The sequence below is a fragment of the Homo sapiens genome, chromosome 1, assembly GCF_000001405.40.
Source record: "Homo sapiens chromosome 1, GRCh38.p14 Primary Assembly".
Classification (NCBI taxonomy): Eukaryota; Metazoa; Chordata; class Mammalia; order Primates; family Hominidae; genus Homo; species Homo sapiens.
This window is the reverse complement of record NC_000001.11, coordinates 241,576,842-241,596,481: the sequence shown is the minus strand read 5'-3', so window position 1 is coordinate 241,596,481 and position 19,640 is coordinate 241,576,842. Positions and strand designations below refer to the sequence as shown.

General features: G+C 38.8%; 2 protein-coding genes across 3 annotated transcripts in view; one reads left to right on the top strand and one right to left on the bottom strand.

The window, feature by feature from the left end:
• Positions 1-3,358, top strand: part of OPN3 (opsin 3) — a 47,246-nt gene extending 43,888 nt beyond the window's left edge. The window contains exon 4 of the mRNA NM_014322.3: positions 1,791-3,358. Within this exon, the coding sequence (NP_055137.2) occupies positions 1,791-2,054 (264 nt within the window). The 3' untranslated portion in view covers positions 2,055-3,358. The remainder of the gene's footprint in view (positions 1-1,790) is intronic.
• KMO (kynurenine 3-monooxygenase) overlaps positions 840-19,640 on the bottom strand; it is a 63,265-nt gene continuing 44,464 nt past the window's right edge. The window contains exons 11-15 of one of the 2 annotated variants that reach the window (NM_003679.5): positions 9,746-9,803; positions 7,652-7,734; positions 6,369-6,470; positions 6,219-6,278; positions 840-4,529 (exon numbers count right to left, since the gene is read on the bottom strand). In NM_003679.5, coding sequence (NP_003670.2) covers positions 4,329-4,529; positions 6,219-6,278; positions 6,369-6,470; positions 7,652-7,734; positions 9,746-9,803 — 504 coding nt within the window. In that variant the 3' untranslated portion in view covers positions 840-4,328. The remainder of the gene's footprint in view (positions 4,530-6,218; positions 6,279-6,368; positions 6,471-7,651; positions 7,735-9,745; positions 9,804-19,640) is intronic. The other variant, NM_001410944.1, reaches the window with a different exon arrangement.

Sequence of the window (19,640 nt, the reverse complement as noted above, 5' to 3'; positions counted from 1 at the left end):
TGCCTTAATCTCCTCTCACTGACAGTGTTTCTTTCCCTGTTTTGTTGCCTTCAATTGGTCTATTTCCTTTAACCCAGAGATTTTAAACTTGGAGTCCATAGGACCTAAACATTCCTTGAGTTGGCCTCAGAAGAGCCACTGAAACCCTGGAAATTGTTTATAACAATTTTTTAGTATGCACACATATGAATTTTTCTAGTGAGATGGTTTATAACTTTAATTTTCTATCAGAGGTTAAGATATTTTAGGGACCACCCTCTCAACAGACAAAATTAAAATACATTAACTAACAATTATTTGTTGCACTCTTTCTCTCAGCCAATGGGCTATAAATTAGTGCTTCTAGAACTTTAATGTGCATACACCACACCTGGAAATCTTGTAATAAATGAATATTCTCCTTCAGTATGTATGGTTGCCCAATATTCTGCATGTCTAACAAGCTCCCACATGGTCCTGATGTTTCTGGTTCCTAAGGGCATACTTTAAACAGGAAGTCTAAAAGATACAAACAAAAACAAATAAATAAAAACAACGGTCCTTGTCCTCAAAGAGCTTACCATTTATATGGAAAAACGTTTTTTGGCATACATACTCTATTTAACCTTTACAGTAATGTATCTTTAACACTTAACCAAACAATGGTTTAGTGAATAAAGTCTCAAACAAATATTTTTATTTTTTAAATTTTTGAATCAGATAGAAAAAATAAATATTTTTAAATGTGAGTATAAACTGAATGCTAACTTGCATAAGATTGGAGCTCAAGACATTATCAGGCAGTGTTTGCTGTAAAACAAAACAAAACAAAAAACAAACAAAAAAGACAGAAATCAATGTAGCTATTTATTATATTTTTAATTGGTATTTCCTAATCTGAGAAAGTCCATATATTCAACATTTATTTCGCTCTAAATAATGGGATAACAATTACATTAACTTTTGATTTATGTTTTACTGGTCATGATGGACCGACTACTATAACAAGCAACCCCAACATTTCAGTGAATTAATACAGAGTTTATTGCTCATTTCAGGTCACAGTTCAGTCTAATAATGTATTGGGTGGAGGAGATGGGATCTGTCCTATGCAGTCATTTAGGAATCTAGGTTCCTTCCATTGTGTGATATTATGATCTTTAGGCGTTGGCCTCCCAGGTTCTTGTAGAGAGGAACAGCAGAGAGGAGAAGCGGAAAGGAGGCCAAGAAATATTATTCGATGTTGTACCCAGGACACGGAGAAGAACAATGTTTGTTGATGACATTAGTGCTGTCTGCTATAGTATTTTTTTCCCCAACTGATTAGTAATTTCGATAGAAAAAAAAAATTCTTCACCTAATTAAAGAGACATTAGCAAGTACACCAGGCTGTAAACTCTGCCAGGAAGAGCCTTATCTGTTTTTGATGCTTATAGTAAAAAGTCTCTAATTATAGCACAGTGGCTGTCACCTAGTAGATGCCCACTGAATATTTGTGGACTAACTTAATGTTCAAAATCTCTTAATAGTTGTACCTGCCCTCATAGAAAGTGTGTGCAGATTGAAGCTTGGAGGATTACAAGGTATTGAAATGGTCCTACATATTCCGGTTAATAAGAATTAGAATGAATAAAAGACATAAAGCTCTGGGGTGATTTAGGTAGATCTGAGCATGACCACATAACCCCACATCCACACCTGCTAACAAACAAAAAACAACTTAAATTCAGCTCAACTGATTTCCTCGAATGTTAATCCAGATTAGTGCCCAACTTTTACTTAATATTCCACTTTATTTTTTCTCTGCCCAGTTTCGAAGATCCCTTTTGCAGCTTCTGTGCCTCCGACTGCTGAGGTGCCAGAGGCCTGCTAAAGACCTACCAGCAGCTGGAAGTGAAATGCAGATCAGACCCATTGTGATGTCACAGAAAGATGGGGACAGGCCAAAGAAAAAAGTGACTTTCAACTCTTCTTCCATCATTTTTATCATCACCAGTGATGAATCACTGTCAGTTGACGACAGCGACAAAACCAATGGGTCCAAAGTTGATGTAATCCAAGTTCGTCCTTTGTAGGAATGAAGAATGGCAACGAAAGATGGGGCCTTAAATTGGATGCCACTTTTGGACTTTCATCATAAGAAGTGTCTGGAATACCCGTTCTATGTAATATCAACAGAACCTTGTGGTCCAGCAGGAAATCCGAATTGCCCATATGCTCTTGGGCCTCAGGAAGAGGTTGAACAAAAACAAATTCTTTTAATTCAACGGGTGCTTTACATAATGAAAAAACCACTTGTGGCACACGATGGGCATCTAACATCATCATCTTCTAATGTGTTGGAGATTTTCATTTCAAATATATTTTTTAAATTACTCTATTTTCCAAAACACGTAATGCATTTTTCTCGAAAATACCTTACTGTAAAAATAACTGTCGCGTACACATGTGTGAAGTAGCTAGAACATACTGAATTTTTTTTGTACTGTTGGACTCTATTCAGTGTCATGTCCTATATCTGATCAAGTTATCAAGGAGATAATTCTAGAATGAAAAAGAAAATCCTCTTGTTGGAAACAAAAGACGTTTTATATGTGCAGTATGACAAAGAGGAGTTTCAGAGACAACTTTGAATCCTTGTCAGCCTGGAGACCAGCACCAGAGGAATCTACAAGGCAAACTCCCATATATTTGCTTCCCCCAAATTGCTGCCCCTACAGACTCAAAGCTCTTTTTCTTTGTTTTGTTGTTTCTCTAAAAATTTACTGTTCTTTGTCGATGCTATATAAGCCAGGGAGTTCTAAGACGCCAGCTCTTTGAGATTTGCTCATTCCCCTGTATTTCCCACATATATATTACATATACCCGCTAATAAATTTATGTTTGTTTTTCTCTTGTCAATCTGTCTTTTGTTATAGGGGCCCCAGCCAAGGAACCTAAAGTGGGTAGAAGGAAAAATTATTTTTTCTTTCCCTACAAACTGAACATGGATTATTAGAACTCAAGGTTTTCATTGACAATATAGAAAAGAAACACTGAATCATTTTATTTTATTGCCCAATTTTTATTTCTTATATGACTCTAGTGTTTCATCTTCATAATTAATCATGTTTGAAGGATTTCTGAGTGACTCAGCAGCCTGTTAAAGAAGGATGAACCAAAGAAAACATTTCACTAAATGTGCTTTTAAAAATCAAGTGTATTGCTGGTTCTGCTGCAGTATGTAGTCGAAGAATAAATTAGTAAATTGCTTCTGAGGGTCTGAAATTGAATAAAGTAATGGCTTTGTATTTCTATAAAAGTTGTCTCCCCTTGTTTCCTTTCCATTCTGGCACATGTAGACATTTAATTTATGAATAAAACCCTTTCCTGTCCTTCACTTAGTATGATATTAATAGCCTTTTTCTTATCTTTAGAGGGTAACTCTGGGCTGGCAGCGGTGGCTCACAACTCTAATCCCTGTACTTTGGGAGGCTGAGGTGGGCAGATCACATGAGGCCAGGAGTTTGAGACTGGCCTGGGCAGCATGGCAAGACCCGGTCTCTACTGAAAAATACCATGGTAGCCCCAGCTATTTGGGAGGCTGAAGTGGGAGGATTGCTTGAGCCCAGGAGGCAGAGGTTGCAGTGAACCCAGATCTCACCACTGCACTCCAGCCTGGTCAACAGAGTGAGACCTGATCTCTAAATACATAAATAAATAGAGATAGATAGATAGATAGATAGATAGATAGATAGATAGATAGATGATAGATAGATAGATAGATGATAGATAGATAGACGATAAACAGATAGATGATAATACTTATATTTGAAGGTGGGAAAATAAAATGAGTTCATTTTGTAAGTCTCTGGAACTCCCCTGAATTCCTTATTTCCATTTCTGGTTTTATCTAGTAAGTCTGAGCCCTGTGGTTAGGTAAGTTCCATTCACGTAATGAAAAGTGCAGTTAACATGCTAGTTAAGTTGTGATTTTTAGTCCTAGGTGTTGAGTCAATGCTGTTGCGAGTCCTATTGTGTCTTTTAAAGAAAAGGCATGATTACTGTCTTCCCTGAGGCATCTAGGGCCTTACTTTCAGAGAAGTGAAGGATCTTAGTCATTGCACTTTTATAGTTAGAATGACTCAACCTGAGTGTGTGTAATGTAGGGAAGCTGCATGTTTCATCTTTTAAAATGCACCCCCCAACCAGTAATTGCAATTAACATACAGAGATACTCTACATTCAGTTTAATTATAAGCAGAACACTATCTTCCACTAGTGAATCAAATATGGCAATGGAAACATTTTTTTCATGCTTAATTTTGGTCACAGAGAAATCATGCATTTGCTACCACAAAACCTTTCTATCACCTGCTAATGAGATTGGAAATTTGTTCTAGGGAGTCCACGGCCTTTGCGGGGAAACATGTTGTATTCCGGAAGTGAGCTATCCAGTTCCATGGTCTTCTCAAGCGGAGGAAAGATCGTGGTGACATGTAGTGTATAAGTAGGTAGGTACTGCTGATGGCTATCAGTGATCCCAAGAAAAAGAGTCCTTTGTTTATCACCTGTAAGACAGCAAGAACTCTCATTTCATTTGTCCAGAGATTAAAATCTGAAAATAGACTTCATTTTTTAACAACAAAGGGGTAAACAATGTCCTCTTTGTTCTTTAACCTGAAACAACAATTTACTTGCATGACCACCAGATCAGGAACTGATAAGATCAAGATAAAGTCAAGGATTGGGAGCCTCCCTTCTCCCTCTCTCCCAGGAAACTCATGAATCCAGGTCTTCTGTATGAAAAAAATTTAGCAGTCAGCTTTTGTCCAGCCATTAAAAAACCTTTGCAGTTTAGAAAAAGAGCTGTGAATTCTTAGAAGAGTACTGCTGTGCTGGGGCCACACATCATTCATTCCTTCTCAGAAGCTTCCCAAAAGTCTCCAGGAGAAGAGTGGTGGCCTGGTGGCCTCTGTGACTAAGACTTATGTGGAGACTAAACACCAGCTGTAAACAGTGGCCTGAGGCTCATTCCAGCCTGAGTCAGGTGCTTTCCCATGGCATCCTGGCCTATTTCTTTTCTTTTTTTTTTTTTGACAGAGAAATCTACTTGAATACTCACATGTAAAAGTTACACATCACAAGAGATTGGACAGTAGCTTAGCATAACTAACATAGCTATAGTGAAAATCATTTTTATAAAAAATAATCTAGATGTGGTCATCAGAATTTTTGGTCTGCTTAAGTTAATGTTTGAAGATTGACTTTTATCCCTCCTTGAAGGATTTGCCTGGCCTATTTCTATCCCCGCACTTACTGTCCTGCATTCTAACTGCCTGCTGGTATCTTTTCCCCTTTTAGACTTTCAGCTCCTTAAGGGTGGGGGCCCTGTTTTATTCATCTTGCACAGATAAACCTTGATTTCTTCCAATCCATTCTCCATATAGACATCTTTCTAAAATCCATACCTGAGTCTGCTGGCCTCCCTGGGCTCCCTGTTTCTCTCAAGATAATACTCCAGGTGTTTAAAGCCCCGCCTCCACCCTCTGACCATTCTCACACACTGTGCTGCCTTCCAGCTCCACTGAAATATGTTTCTCATGTGTCTTCCGCCTTCCCCTGTCCTGGCCCCTCCTGTTCTCCTCGGGGGCAGTTTATCTCTCTCCAGTGCCACTGTCTGTATCCCCTACTAGCCTCTGAGCTTTGTGAAAGGTGTGAACTGGTCATGTTCATCACCATGCCAGCTCAGTGCTATCTATGTACCAAATAAAACTGTCTGTTGAATAAATGACGTTGTAAAATCCCCAAAGTGGAAGACTAGGGAATCAGAATTCCTTCCATTTAATGGCTTCTCTAGGCCAACTGCCCAAAATGGATGTATTATAGCATTCCATTGGAATAGATCTTTTAAAAGTGATTCAGTTCTGTCTAATTTTACAAATTAAACTCATAAGAATATTGCATGAAGCAAAAATCAAGAACAGTACATCTTGCTAAAATAAAGTAAAAAGTTGAGAAATATTAGCATCAGTTTCTATCTTGAGATTCTTCCCTTCAAAAGCTCTCTTTGCCACCTCCTTGTAATGTTTTTCAGTAAGCACTGTTCCCTCTCTGTACTCAGGACAGTTTCTGTTTGGAAGGCAAACAGTTGGTGTCTGTCCCATTATTTCTGTATTTGTTGGAAACAAACATAATCATAATACTATGACATTTCAAAACACCACATTAAAAAATAAATAAAATGTAACTGTTCCAACCTTTTTTTGCCAATGCCAACGCTGCACAGCCTCATGGTATCTTATTCTGGAAAAAGTGACCTGCAGGGAAGTTTAAAAAGTATTCTTGTGTATTCTTTAACAGCTAAACAGAAAATCAAAATGAGGAAAAGTCTTCAGTCCAGACCTTACCATTGTATAGAGAGGGATAAAGGTCGATGGCATAATCGCATGAAGAAATCTCTCCATGTTCTTCTGAAAAATGAACCAGCTTGAGTTGACATGTGCTCGCATCTGCAATAATGACAGTCTTAAAGAACGCTTTTGAACAAATACAGCTATTTCTCACTGCGACTTAGTATTATTCTTCATTCCCACTCATCGCAATGCCAAACACAAAGTAGTCAAATAATTTTTTGTTTCCATAATGTCATTCCCAATCCATTTTGGTAAATGTCGGTCATATAGGACGTTGCCTCGAAAATGTACAGCAATTACACGAAACCTGCTAGGGAAGTTTATTTTGCTCAGGGTTCAATAGAGGAAGTCAATTTCAGCAGAGGGTTTGTTTAACCAGAACTGCAGGCAATCTGTGAGCTCAAAGATTTGTCTAATTTTCTGTTGCTTCCTGGTTGTTTTGTAATATTGCTTACGGCAAAAAGAGATTGTTTAAAGCTATGTTTGTCTGGACCTACTCTTTCTTTTAGGACAGATACTGTGTCGTAGCCATCCCGTTTTTAAAGGAGAAGACAAGATACATCAATAAAGCCTACAATATCTTGTAGGTTATCCTCTACCACATCTGATGCAATTTTGCTCAAGCTGAAGTCCAGTTTCTTTCTGTCTTCAGGAGAGATGGCAAATAGCTGGTCACTCTGCTTTAAATTTATCTTGTAAATCCTTTCATTTTATTATTTTAAAACTATAATCACAATCACTTACCATGAGCTTTACATGTGACTGGTTCAAAATGGAATTAATATGTTTTTTTTTCAAAGTACTAATCTTCCTGAACATGAATTTCTTTTTGGTATTATGCATTTTTTTTTAGTGCATAAGTTTCCAAAGGATAATCAATGCTACTCTAAATATGCAAGTTATAATGTTATGAGTGAAAAGGCCATTCAACATTTCTTAGATTTTCTAAATATGTTGACACATCTGAAAGTTGTATTTTCATTAAAGTAACATATTGCTAAATGTCTAAGATAAAAGCATGTGAATTATCAGAGGTTTTGTTACCTCCTAAACGTCCTTAAAGTGTAGATAGAGATAATGTGTATTGGTCATTGCCACTGGCCAGAGTCACAATCCACCCAAGTCTAAGGAATGCTATGTGTGTGTGTGTTTTCTTATCTGTAGGTATTCTTATATAGCATGCATGAGATGGGGGCTGAAGCAAAGAAAAAGAAAAGAACACTTGTTAGAATATCAGTGAACCATCTCATGGAATAAAGCCAAACCTTCTCACTCACCTCTATGTAATTGTACATGGATAGGTCTGAAATCGCGTGATCATCTGGGATTCTCAATCTTGAGAACACAGGAAGACACAAACCTGTAAGTTAAATAATACATCTTTCCAAAACCTTCTATAAAAATGTGCTGAACTCTACACAGGTCAAATTAAATGGTACGTTCACTACCAATGCTCTCGCTAATTTTTTTAAACTATAAATAACCATTCTGTATAACCAACAATCTATGACTATTGACAATACACAGAGCATTTCCTGTTGTGATTAAATAAAAATTACAACAAAATTAATCTATATTATTGCTTTATCTTTGTTCTCTAGTGCCCCAAACCAGCGTTGACAGTGTGTTCTTATGCATAAACCCTCTATCAACCTCCAACGTCATGTGTAAACCAGTCACGCGAGCACAAGGAAAGGAGGAAACAAAATATCTCTGGCTCCTGAGCATCTGAGAGAGATGACTGGGAAATAACCAAAAAAAAAAAAAAAAAAAAAAAAGAAAAAAAAGATGAGAAAATTTGTCCTGGAATTCTATGATCTCTTCAGACCCAGGCACCAGTATTCTTGGACTTTCTAAAACACCACAGCAAACATATACTATGAACTTACTTTACGGTAGGCTTTTTTTTTCTTTTTAAAACTTTATAGAAATTATTCAGTGTTCACAACTCTGAAGTTGAGAGTATCATCCCCACTTTATAGATGAAAAAGAACGGAGGCTTTAGAAAGATGAAGTGATTTGCTCAAGATCACACAGTTAATAAGTTGGCAAGTCAGGACTTGAAACTGGGTGTAAGTTTAAGGCCAGTTCTCTAGTCTATCCTTTACCTGAAACAAGTGTAAAATCAGAGGTGGCCTTTGAAAGCACGTGATGCTGGGAAGTAGGAAAAGGTTATCCAGTTCTTAGGCTGTTGTTTGTGCCTTCTTTTATATATGTAATATACAAACCCTCCATCCACCTCCATGGTCATGTGCAAACCAATCACATCAGGACTAGGAAGGAAGGGCGGGAACAAAATGCCTCTGGCTCCTCAGTATTTGACAGAGATAACTGAAAAATAATGAAAAAAAAAAAAGGAATTTATGCCGGGCATGGTGGCTCACGCCTATAATCCCAGCACTTTGGGAGGCAGAGGTGGGTGGATCACTTGAGGTCAGGAGTTCGAGACCAGCCTGGCCAACATGACGAAACCCCGTCTCTACTAAAAATACAAAAATTAGCTGGGTGTGGTGGTGTATGCCTGTAATCCCAGCTACTCTGGAGGCTGAGGCAGGAGAGGAGGCGGAGGTTGCAGTGAGCCAAGACTGAGGCCACTGAACTTCAGCCTGGGCGATGGAGTGACTCCATCTCAAAAAAAAAAGTATTAGATGCAATCTTTGATAGGGCAAAAAACACTGGAGCTTCTAAGTGTTTCTGAGGATGTGTTGTAGGGTGACTGTCCCCAACCCTCGGTCCATGGCCTGTTAGGAACTGGGCCGCACAGCAGGATGTGAGTGGCAGTTGAGATGGCATTACCGCCCAAGCTCCGCCTCCTGTCAGATCAGCAGTGGCATTAGTTTCTCATAGGAGCGTGAACCCTATTGTGAACTGCACAGGCGAGACATCTAGCTTGCACGCTCCTTATGAGAATCCAACTAACGCCTGAAGATCAGAGCAGGAACAGTTTCATCCTGAAACCATCTCCCCCCACCCCCTGTCTGTGGAAACACTGTCTTCCGTGAAACCCGTCCCTGGTGCCAAAACGTTGGGACTGTTGCTAGGAGGCGCAGGCAGAGGGTGTTACCTAGGCTGAAAAGGGAGAGAAAGCAGCCTATTTCTGCCAAGCACGGGTACTCTGAGCTTTAATCTCTGAGTGAATCACTTCATGGACCTCCACATAGAAACTTCAAAAGAAACTATGTTTCTTTTTCTGGGTGTTAGTTGTTGCTATGGGAAAACGGTGGCATAGACTATTAGTAGAAAAATATGTAATCCTGGGGAGATAATATACATTATACATCACAGGTTTGTGATCATTGAGGATCAGAAATAAGCCCACAATTAGTCAGAAGAGCTAGTACATGTCCAGTTGAGAAATTGACCTTACTTACTAAGGTCGTTACTGAATTTATCCATTAACTCATCAAATACCAAGCAGTCTTCAAAGCCCTGAAACAAGAAAAAAAAAGAGAAATAAGAAACTAGAAATAATAAAAAAGAAACCCTTATTATTGATTTTGAATAGATATTCCATTGGTGAAGATAATTCATACACTGTTTATTCTCAACTAGTACATAGCAGTTGAGTTGTCACATGGTATTGAATTATGGTTAAAAATGACCATCGGGCCTGGACGTGATGGCTCACACCTGTAATCCCAGCACTTTGGGAGGCCGAGGTGAGCGGATCGCTTGAGCTCAGGAGTTTGAGATCAGCCTGGGCAACATGATGAGACCCCATATCTACTAAAAATACAAAATAATAGCTGGATGTGGTGGTGTGTGCCTGTGGTCCCAGCTACTCGGGAGGCTGAGGTGAGAGGACCACTTGAACCTGGGAGATGGAGGTTGCAGTGAGCCGAGATCGCTCCACTGCACTCCAGCCTGGGTGACAGAGCGAGACCCTGTCTCAAAAAAAAAAAAAAAAAAAAAAAAAGACCATAGACTTCATGCTTGGCAGTGTTATCTTTGTCCAATTTACATATATATGATACAGTGATCTGAAATTCGACCAAGATTTTACATTACTGTTTTAATTTTGATAGATTCCATTACTTCTTTGAGAAGAAGAAATCATTATATTGCTCTACCATAAGTTTTAGAATTATATTTAAACTCATTCAAGTCTTTAAGATTCATATTTAGAGCAATTTAATGATAGGATAAAACTACTTATTAATTTAGTTCCTATAACTCAAGATTAAAGCAATATTAAGAAGTCCACAAAATTAGTAATGTACTATACTAAATACAGAGAGGATGGAGAATTGAAAACAATGTTTCCTGTTTCCTAGGAATTCAAGCTACAGCTTTAGAGGTAGTATAAAGATTTTTTTTCTTTTTGGTTTTTTTTTTTGTTCTTTTTTTTTTATTTTAGATGGAGTCTTGCTCTGTTGTTCAGGTTGGAGTGCAGCACAATCTCGGCTCACTTCAATCTCCACCTGTTAGGTTCAAATGATTCTCCTTCCTCAGCCTCCCAAGTAGCCAGGATTACAGGCGTGCACCACCACGCCCAGCTAATTTTTGTATTTTTATAGAGATGGCATTTCACCACATTGGCCAGACTGGTCTCAAACTCTTGACCTCAAGTGATCTGCCTGGCTTGGCCTCCCAAAGTGCTGGGATTACAAGCGTGAGCCACTGTGCCCGGCCTTAAGATATTTTTTAAATAAAATATTTTTCACATCAATTATAAAGATTACATCTGAAACAAGCAGATTTATTTGTCAAATCAATTATATAGTCTCAATACTATAGAAGTGAGAGATACCATATGGGGCTGAGATAATAGTTTTATATTCTTTTGTTTAAGTTAATTCATTTACTCTTCACAACTCTCTGAGGTAGACATTATTAAAATTCCAATTTAATTTAATTTAATTATTAATTAATTAATTTTGAAATGCAGTCTCGGTCTGTCACCCAGGCAGGAGTGCAGTGGCACAATCTCGGCTCACTGCAACCTCCACCTGCCAGGTTCAAGCGATTCTCCTGCCTTAGCCTCCCAAGTAGTTGGGACTACAGGAACCCACCACCACACCTAGCTAATTTTTTTTGTATTTTCAGTAGAGACGGGGTTTCACCATGTTGACCAGGCTGGCCTCAACCTCCTGACCTCAAGTGATCCACCTGTCTCGGTCTCCCAAAGTGCTGGGATTACAGGCGTGAGCCACCACACCTGGCCTAAAATTCCAGTTTTATGGATAAGAAAGTAAAGATAAGGTAAGTAAATTGCACAAGAATATATTTGCAGTAAATTCTGGAGCCAGGATTTAAAACTAAGTATTCTAATGTCAGGTCCTGGGCACTTATCCACTGTGCTACAGTTAATGTCTTATGTTTTTATAAAACAATATGTTTACCACTGCTTCATGGAGAATATAATTGATTAGATTCAAAAGCTATTTTTACTTGGAATATATGCCAATGACCAAAATAATATATGATTAATGATTATGAAGCTATTAGTGCACACACACACACAAATTAGGATTCCTTGAAATGAATGTTCAACTTTTAAACGCTATTTCTTTTCTGAATTCTTTTTCTGGCCAAAATAGTAACATTTCCATGAAGGCAGTAGTGTTCAACATCTAATCAGCTCATAGTTTTACTCAACCTTGTCAATCAGGTTTTGCTTTCCTTTGGAAAGAAAAAGTAGAAAAGAAAGAGATCCTTGAGGAATCGCCACACTGTCTTCCACAATGGTTGAACTAGTTTACACTCCCACCAACAGTGTGAAAGTGTTCCTATTTCTCCACATCTTCTCCAGCACCTGTTGTTTCCTGACTTTTTAACAATCACCTTTCTAACTGGTGTGAGATGGTATCTCATTGTGGTTTTGATTTGCATTTCTCTGATGACCAGTGATGATGAGTTGCAAGGACAGAAAACCAAACACCTCATGTTCTCACTCATAGGTGGGAATTGAACAATGAGAACACATGGACACAGGAAGGGGAACATCACACACCGGGGGCTGTCATGGGGTTGGGGGATGGGGGAGGGATAGCATTAGGAGAAATACCTAATGTAAATTACTAGTTAATGGGTGCAGCACACCAACATGGCCCATGTATACATATGTAACAAACCTGCACATTGTGCACCTGTACCCTAGAACTTAAAGTATAATAAAAAAAGAAAAATAAATAAGTAAATGAGATAAATGTTTATTATTTTCTTTCTTTGAGGCTAATGTTACATATTTATGCATAGTGCCTAGAAAAAATATATTTAAAAAATTAAGTCTTGAATTGCTGATAGCCAAGTTTCCAAATTTTGAGCTATTGGTACATTTTTTCTAACTGAACAGAATACTATATGGTCAGCCACATATACCCAAGTTCTGGATATATGGACTCAGTCAAGTTTTGATTGGAAGTATTTTTTAAAAAACAATAAAAATAATGCAACAAAAAAGAATACAAATAAAAATACAGTATAACAATTATATACATGACATTTATATTGTATTAGGTATATGTATTATAAGTAATCTATAGATGATTTTAAGTACCTGAGACCCTCTTCTTCAACTCCAGGCAGTGCAGCTTGGGGAAAAACTCCCTTCACTTGGGGAAAGGAGAAGAAAAAGTATAGAGGTCTTTGTCTTACTAGTTAGTTAGGTACCAGCTAAGCCACAATAAAATAAAGCACCAAGTAGTTTCCTGAAGCCCCTGATTCCAGGTCTTAGCTCCTGGATGGCATTTCTATACCCACCCTGGGGCAGAAGGGAATTTTCTGCCTTGAAGGCAATGACTGAGTCCTGGCAGGGTTCACCACCTGCTAACTAAAGAGCCCTTGGGCCTTGAATAAACATCAGTGGTAGCCAGGCAGTAGTCACCATGGGCATTAGGCAAGACACAGTACTGTGTTAGCTTCAGGTATGACCCAGCACAGTGCCAGCTGTGGTGGCCACAGGAGTGCTTGTGTCACTCCTCCCCCAACTCCAGGCAGCCTAGCATGGGGAGAAAAACTCCTTGTGGTTCAAGGAACAAAAGAGAAGAGACTGAGATACTTTGCCTAGTAACCCAAGGAATTCTCCCTTTAGGACAATGCTTCATTTAGAAGCACCATTGTGCCTCTAGGACTTGGCAAGAGTTGTAGCATTCCTGGGCTTAGGGCACCTCCTAGTACTGATACAGCTGCAGTGACCATAAACTTAGACCGCAACACTCATTCCCCTTGGAATACCTGGAAAGCTATTTCAAGAAGGACAGGTACAAACAAGCCAAGAATGTGAAGACAAAATAGACAAAATAGACACCTAATTCTTCAACACCCAGATATCAACAAACATCCACAAGCATCAAGAACACCCAAGGAACATGACCTTACCAAACGAACTAAATAAGGCACCAGTGACCAATCCTGGAGTGACAAAGATATATGACCTTTCAAATAGAGAATTCAAAATACTCGTCTTGCAGAAGTTCAACAAACATCAAGATAATACAGAGAAGGAATTCAGAATTGTATCAGATAAATTTAACAAAGAGATTGAAATAATTTTTAAAAATCAAGCAGACATTTTGGAGCTGAAAAATTCAATTGAAAAATGCATCAGAGTCTCTCAACAGCAGAATTGATCAAACAGAAGAAAAAATTAGTGAGCTGGAAGACAGGCTATATAAAAATACAGTCAGAGGGAAACAATAAGAATAAAAAAGAATTAAGCATACATATAAGATCCAGGAAATAGCCTGACAAGGGCAAATCTAATAGTTGTTGGCCTTAAAGAGAACATATATAGAGAGAGACATAAGGGTAGAAAGTTTATTCAAAGAAATAATAATGAAAACTTCCCAAACCTAGAGAAAGATATGAATATCCAGCTACAAGAAGATCATAAAACACTAAACAGATTCAAGCCAAATAAGGCTACATCAAAGCATATATTAATGGAACTCTCAAAGGTCAAGGATAAAGAAAGGATCCTGAAAGCAACAAGTAAAAATAAGCAAATAACATAAAAGGAGCTCCAATATGTCTGGCAGCAGACTTTGCAGCAGAAACCTTTAGGACAAAAGAGAATGGATTGGCATATTCAAAGTGCTAAAGGAATAAAAGCTTCCAATTTAGAATATTGTATGCAGCAAAATTATTCTACAAACATGAAGGAGAAATATGTTCACAGACAAACAAAACCTGAGAGATTTCATCAACACCAGATCCGTCTTACAAGAAATACTCAAGGGAGATCTTCAATATGAAAGAAAAGGATGTTAACAAATGAGAAAAAAAATCACCTGAAGGTATCTAATTCACTGGTAATAGTAAGTATACAGACAAATACAGTATACTATTAACACTGTAACTGCAGTATGTACATATCTTTAGTAGAAGGACCAAAAGACACATTTATCAAAAATAATAATTACAAGAACTTTTTAGAGACAGTATAAAAAGATATATATAGAGACAACAAAATGTCAAAATGCCAGGGGGATGGAGTTAAAGTGTAGAGTTGTTTAGTTTTCTCTTTGCTTGTTTGTCTTTTCTTTTCTTTTCTCTTTTTTTCTTCTTTCTTTCTTTTTCTTTGTAATCCGGGTTAAGTTGTCATCAGTTTAAAATACTTGGTTGTAAGATGTTATTTGCAAGCCTCATGGTAACCACAAAACAAAAACCTATGATAGGTACACAAAAAATAATAAGCAAAAACTTAAAACATACTACCAGAGAATATCACTTTTACACAAAGGAAAACAAGAAGGAAGAAAGAAGAAGAGGACCAACAAAACAACCAGAAAAGAAGTAACTGTATGGCAGCAGTAAGTCCATACCTATCATTAGTAATACTGAAACTAAATGGAATAAATTCCCTAATAAAAATACATAGAGCAGTTGGATGTATAAAAAGATAAGACTCAACTATATGCTGCCTACAAGAAATTCACATCACCTATAAAGACACACATCGACTGAAAATAAAAGGATGGAAAAAGATATTCCAAGCAAATGGAAATCATAAAAGAGCAGGAGTTGCTATACTTATATGAGACAAAATGGATTTCAAGACAAAAACTCTAAAGACAAACAAATGAGTTCATTATATAATGACAAAAAGGTCAATTTGGTAAGAGAATATAATAGTAAATATCTATGCATCCAACACAGGAGCACCCAGATATAGAAAGCAAATATTATTAGAACTAAAGACAGTGATAGACCCCAATACAATAATAGCTGGGTACTTAACACCCCAGTTTCACCTTTGGACAGATCATCAAGACATAAAATAAAGAAAAAGTATGTAAGAAATGGACCTAATATGTATTTACAGAACATATTATCCAAAAAAGGCAGAATACATGTTCTTTTCCTTAGCACATGAAACATCCTCAAAGATAGGTTGTATGTTAGGTCACAAAAAAAATCTCAAAAAATTTTTAAAAATTGAAATCACATCAAGTATCTTTTCTGACCACAGTGAGATGAAACTAGAAATAAATAACAAGAGAAACTTTGTAAATTATACAAACACATGGAAATTAAACAATATGCTCCTGAATGACCACTGGGTCAATGAAGAAATTGACCAATAAGGGAATTTAAAGATTTCTTGAAACAAATGAAAATGGAAACAGAACATACCAAAACCTGTGGGACACAGCCAAAGCAGTACTAAAGTTGAAGTGTATAGCAATAAATACCTACATCAAAAAAGTAGAAAAACTTCAAATAAACAACCTAACAATTGTATCCTAAAGAGCTATAAAAGCAAGAGCAAACTGAATCCAAAATTAGTTGAAGAAAGAAAAAATCTTTCCCCCTAAGACAGTGAATTGGAGGCAATGTTAGCATGCCTCTCCCACTTGGGAAGATAAAATGTGGTGTAGAGATATGTAGAGATATATGTAGAGACTATGTAGAGATACACACTGTGAACTTTTTTCCAGGAGGCAACACAGGAACTTAACAGGAAAACGGAAGGAAACCATAAGACCCTTTAAAAGAAGAGATAGGCTGCTGCAACCTATACTATAAGCCATGTGAAAAATTGTTAAGTCCTCAAAGTGTGAGAGGGTGAGAGCCTGCCTCCAGGATATAAATCCCCACTGGGGAACCTGGCAATCCAGTCCATGGGGGAAGGCGTTAACCCTACCAAGCACTGGAACTGATTTAGTGAGCAGTGGGAAATATAAAAGCAGGAGCAGCAGCTGGAAGAGACTTTTGGACATTCCCGGTCTCCAGTACAAACCAAGGGAGGTTATTCCTGATTCTACATTACTGGGAACCTCATGGAAGTCTGCAAGCTAACTCAGGCAGCAGTCACAGGTTGAGAGAAGCTCCCAACTAAAATCTGTGATATAATCTCGAGCAGGGTTGAACTCTCTTGGCCAGAACTGGGAGGTGAATGGGAAGTGTGCTACAGCCACGAGTGCAGAAGCTGGGTGCCCTGGATTTGTGGGTGGACTGGGAGGGGAGTGGCCTGAAAGTCACCAGTTGCTGTCTCTGAGGAGAAGGCTTATGGCCTAGGACAGTTTTGAGTGTAGACTTCCTGGAGCTTAGCTAGCTGTTGCTAGCAGAACACTGTGGGTGTAAGACCTGCCTTGCCAAGTGCATGGAAGCTGGGTGGAGCTTACTGCCGCCTGCTACTCCCTAATTGCTGGGCAAACTCTTCAGTGAAGCAGAGGCAGTTGTCCTCATCCCTGAAGCGTTACCTTAGTGGCCAGAAAACTGTCTCCTGGCCCCCACAGGGAATGCTGCTTGCATGGACCTGCCCAGCACAACTCTGACCTGGCTTCACCCCTCCACCTACCCTGGTAGCTTAACACAAAAGACAGAAACTTTTGGGAGCTTTATAACCCTGCCCATCACGTAAGAAACCAGAGTACCTCCCCTAGGTAACATAAGGCAAGCAGAAATCCCACTGCTACCACCAAACCTGGTGCTCTTTTGCAAGTACAACCACCTGGCAGAAGCCAACTGACACAGTCCATTACAGACAGCATCTGCAGGTAGAATAACCTGCACTCAGGAAGGAGAAAATTTGTGTATGACCTCAGCTATCACTGTGATATGGTTTGGCTGTGTCCCCACCCAAATCTCATCTTGAATTGTATCTCCCATAATTCCCATGTGTTGTGGGAGGGACCTGGTGGGACATAATTGAATCATGGGGGCAATTTCCCTCATACAATTCTCGTGGTAGTGAATAAGTCTCATGAGATCTGATGGTTTTATAAGGGAAAACCCTTTCACTTGGCTCTCACTCTTCTCTTGTCTGCTACCATGTGAGAAGGGCCTTTCACCTTCCACCATAATTGTGAGGCCTCCCTAGCCACATGAAACTGTGCATCCATCAAACCTCTCTTTCTTTATAAATTACCCAATCTTGGGTATGTCTTTATCAGCAGCATGAAAACAGATTAATACACACCATTACCTACACCACCCTGGCTAACCAGGAAGTTCTAAGTCTGTCCACATAACCAGTTAATTACTCCTACAACCAGCATTTGAAATAGCCAACACACTAAGCCTATTTATAGCCAAGGAATCACAGAGTCTATGTCACTCCCCTCCATCTGAGCTGGTACTGGTACCCACTGCTGGAAGACTTAAGGGCAGGTCACATTACTGGATCCCTTGCAGACATTCCCCACAGTGGCCTCAAGTGTGGCAGCTCCACTGTGTTGCTGGACCTAGAGGAGCAACAGCATTCACAGTAGTCTAGCTCTCAGGGACTCCTATTCCCAGGGGAAAGAGGAGTGTACCACATCAATGAAACATGCCATGGGACAAAAGAATCTGGAGAGCAGGACTTGAGTCCCACATCTTTCTGCTGGTGGGAAGTTTATTTCATCAGAGTCATGTTTGCAGTGCTGGGCTCAGCAAGAAAAGTCTGCAGTTCTAACCCAATAGTCAAGCAGCGCTGGTGCTCATGAAGAGTCTTGGAGAAGAGGACTTGTTTTCCTCCTCATCCACCACTGCAAACACAGTGGGAATGGGGCTTCTCCCATGGAAGTTTGGTAAGGGTGGCCTATAGACAGCCATTCAGGAACACTTCAGGGTGACTGCCGCCCCACATGAGGGAGCACCCCTCAGGCTCAGGCTTGCACAAGAGGGAGAGTCACAACTCCTCTCTACTTGGAACATCAACATTCCTGCAGATGGAAAGAGGTGCCTGTCTGATCTGAATAGCCAGAACACTGGGTCAGGGATGTATCTGGGAGGTGGATCACTTTCCAGTTGGCCTGGCAGGGGAGGCCAGAAGGAAAAGGGGAGAGGTGGCTCCCACCGTTTCCCCTGAAAAGACTTCAGTGTGTTTCACTGAGAGCTCCCCCAACCACCTCTGTCAAGGCTGGGGCCTCTGACCAACATTTCATATTGCATTTACCCACCTGCTTTAGCCATAAATAGTTTCTGCCCAGGGATACCTTCTCTACTGGCCTGAAACCTGAGCTATTCAACTCAGTAAATAAAATACTGGGGAAAAAATAAATAAATAAAAAAGTGCACATCATGGGAAACGAGATGAGCCTCAAAATATCTCTACCATTCCAACCCCATAGGAGACCGTGAACTTGTACACACACCAAGCACATTGCTACTACAACCAGCATCTGAGAAAGCCAGTCATCAAACAAAGACTCTCCATAACCAAGGAACCCACAGAGTCTTCAACTCTGAAAGCACCAAGAGCCGAATTAGGCTACAATAAACTATAAACATTAAAATCACATCCTTAACAGGGTAAAAAGGAAATTAAAGAAAAACACAGTTGAATCAAAAATAAATTTAAAAATAATTAGAAGAAATAGCCTACCCAAATTAGAAGGAACCAGAAAAATAATTCCGGTAATATGACAAAACAGGGTTCTATAACAACCCCAAAAGATCACACTGGCTTTCCAGCAATGGATCCATACCAAGATGAAATCTTTGAAATACCAGATAAAGATGTCAAAACATTATTAAGTTACTCAAGAACATGCCAGAGAAAGGTGAAAAACAACATGAAGAAATTTAAAACATTCAGAATATGAATGAAAAATTTCCTAAAGAGATAGATATTTTACAGAAAAAACAATCAGAATTTCTAGAAATGGAAGACACATTTAAGGAATTACAAAATGCAGTGGAACATTTTAACAACAGGCTAGAGAAAGCAGAAGAAAGAATTTCAGAGCTCAAAGACAAGGCTTTTGAATTAACCCAATCAGACAAAATAAAGAAAATATAATCAAAAGAAATGAACAAAGCCTCAAAGAAATATGGGATTATGTAAAATGGCCAAATCTAAGAATAATTGATGTTCCTGAGGGAGAAAAGAAAGTA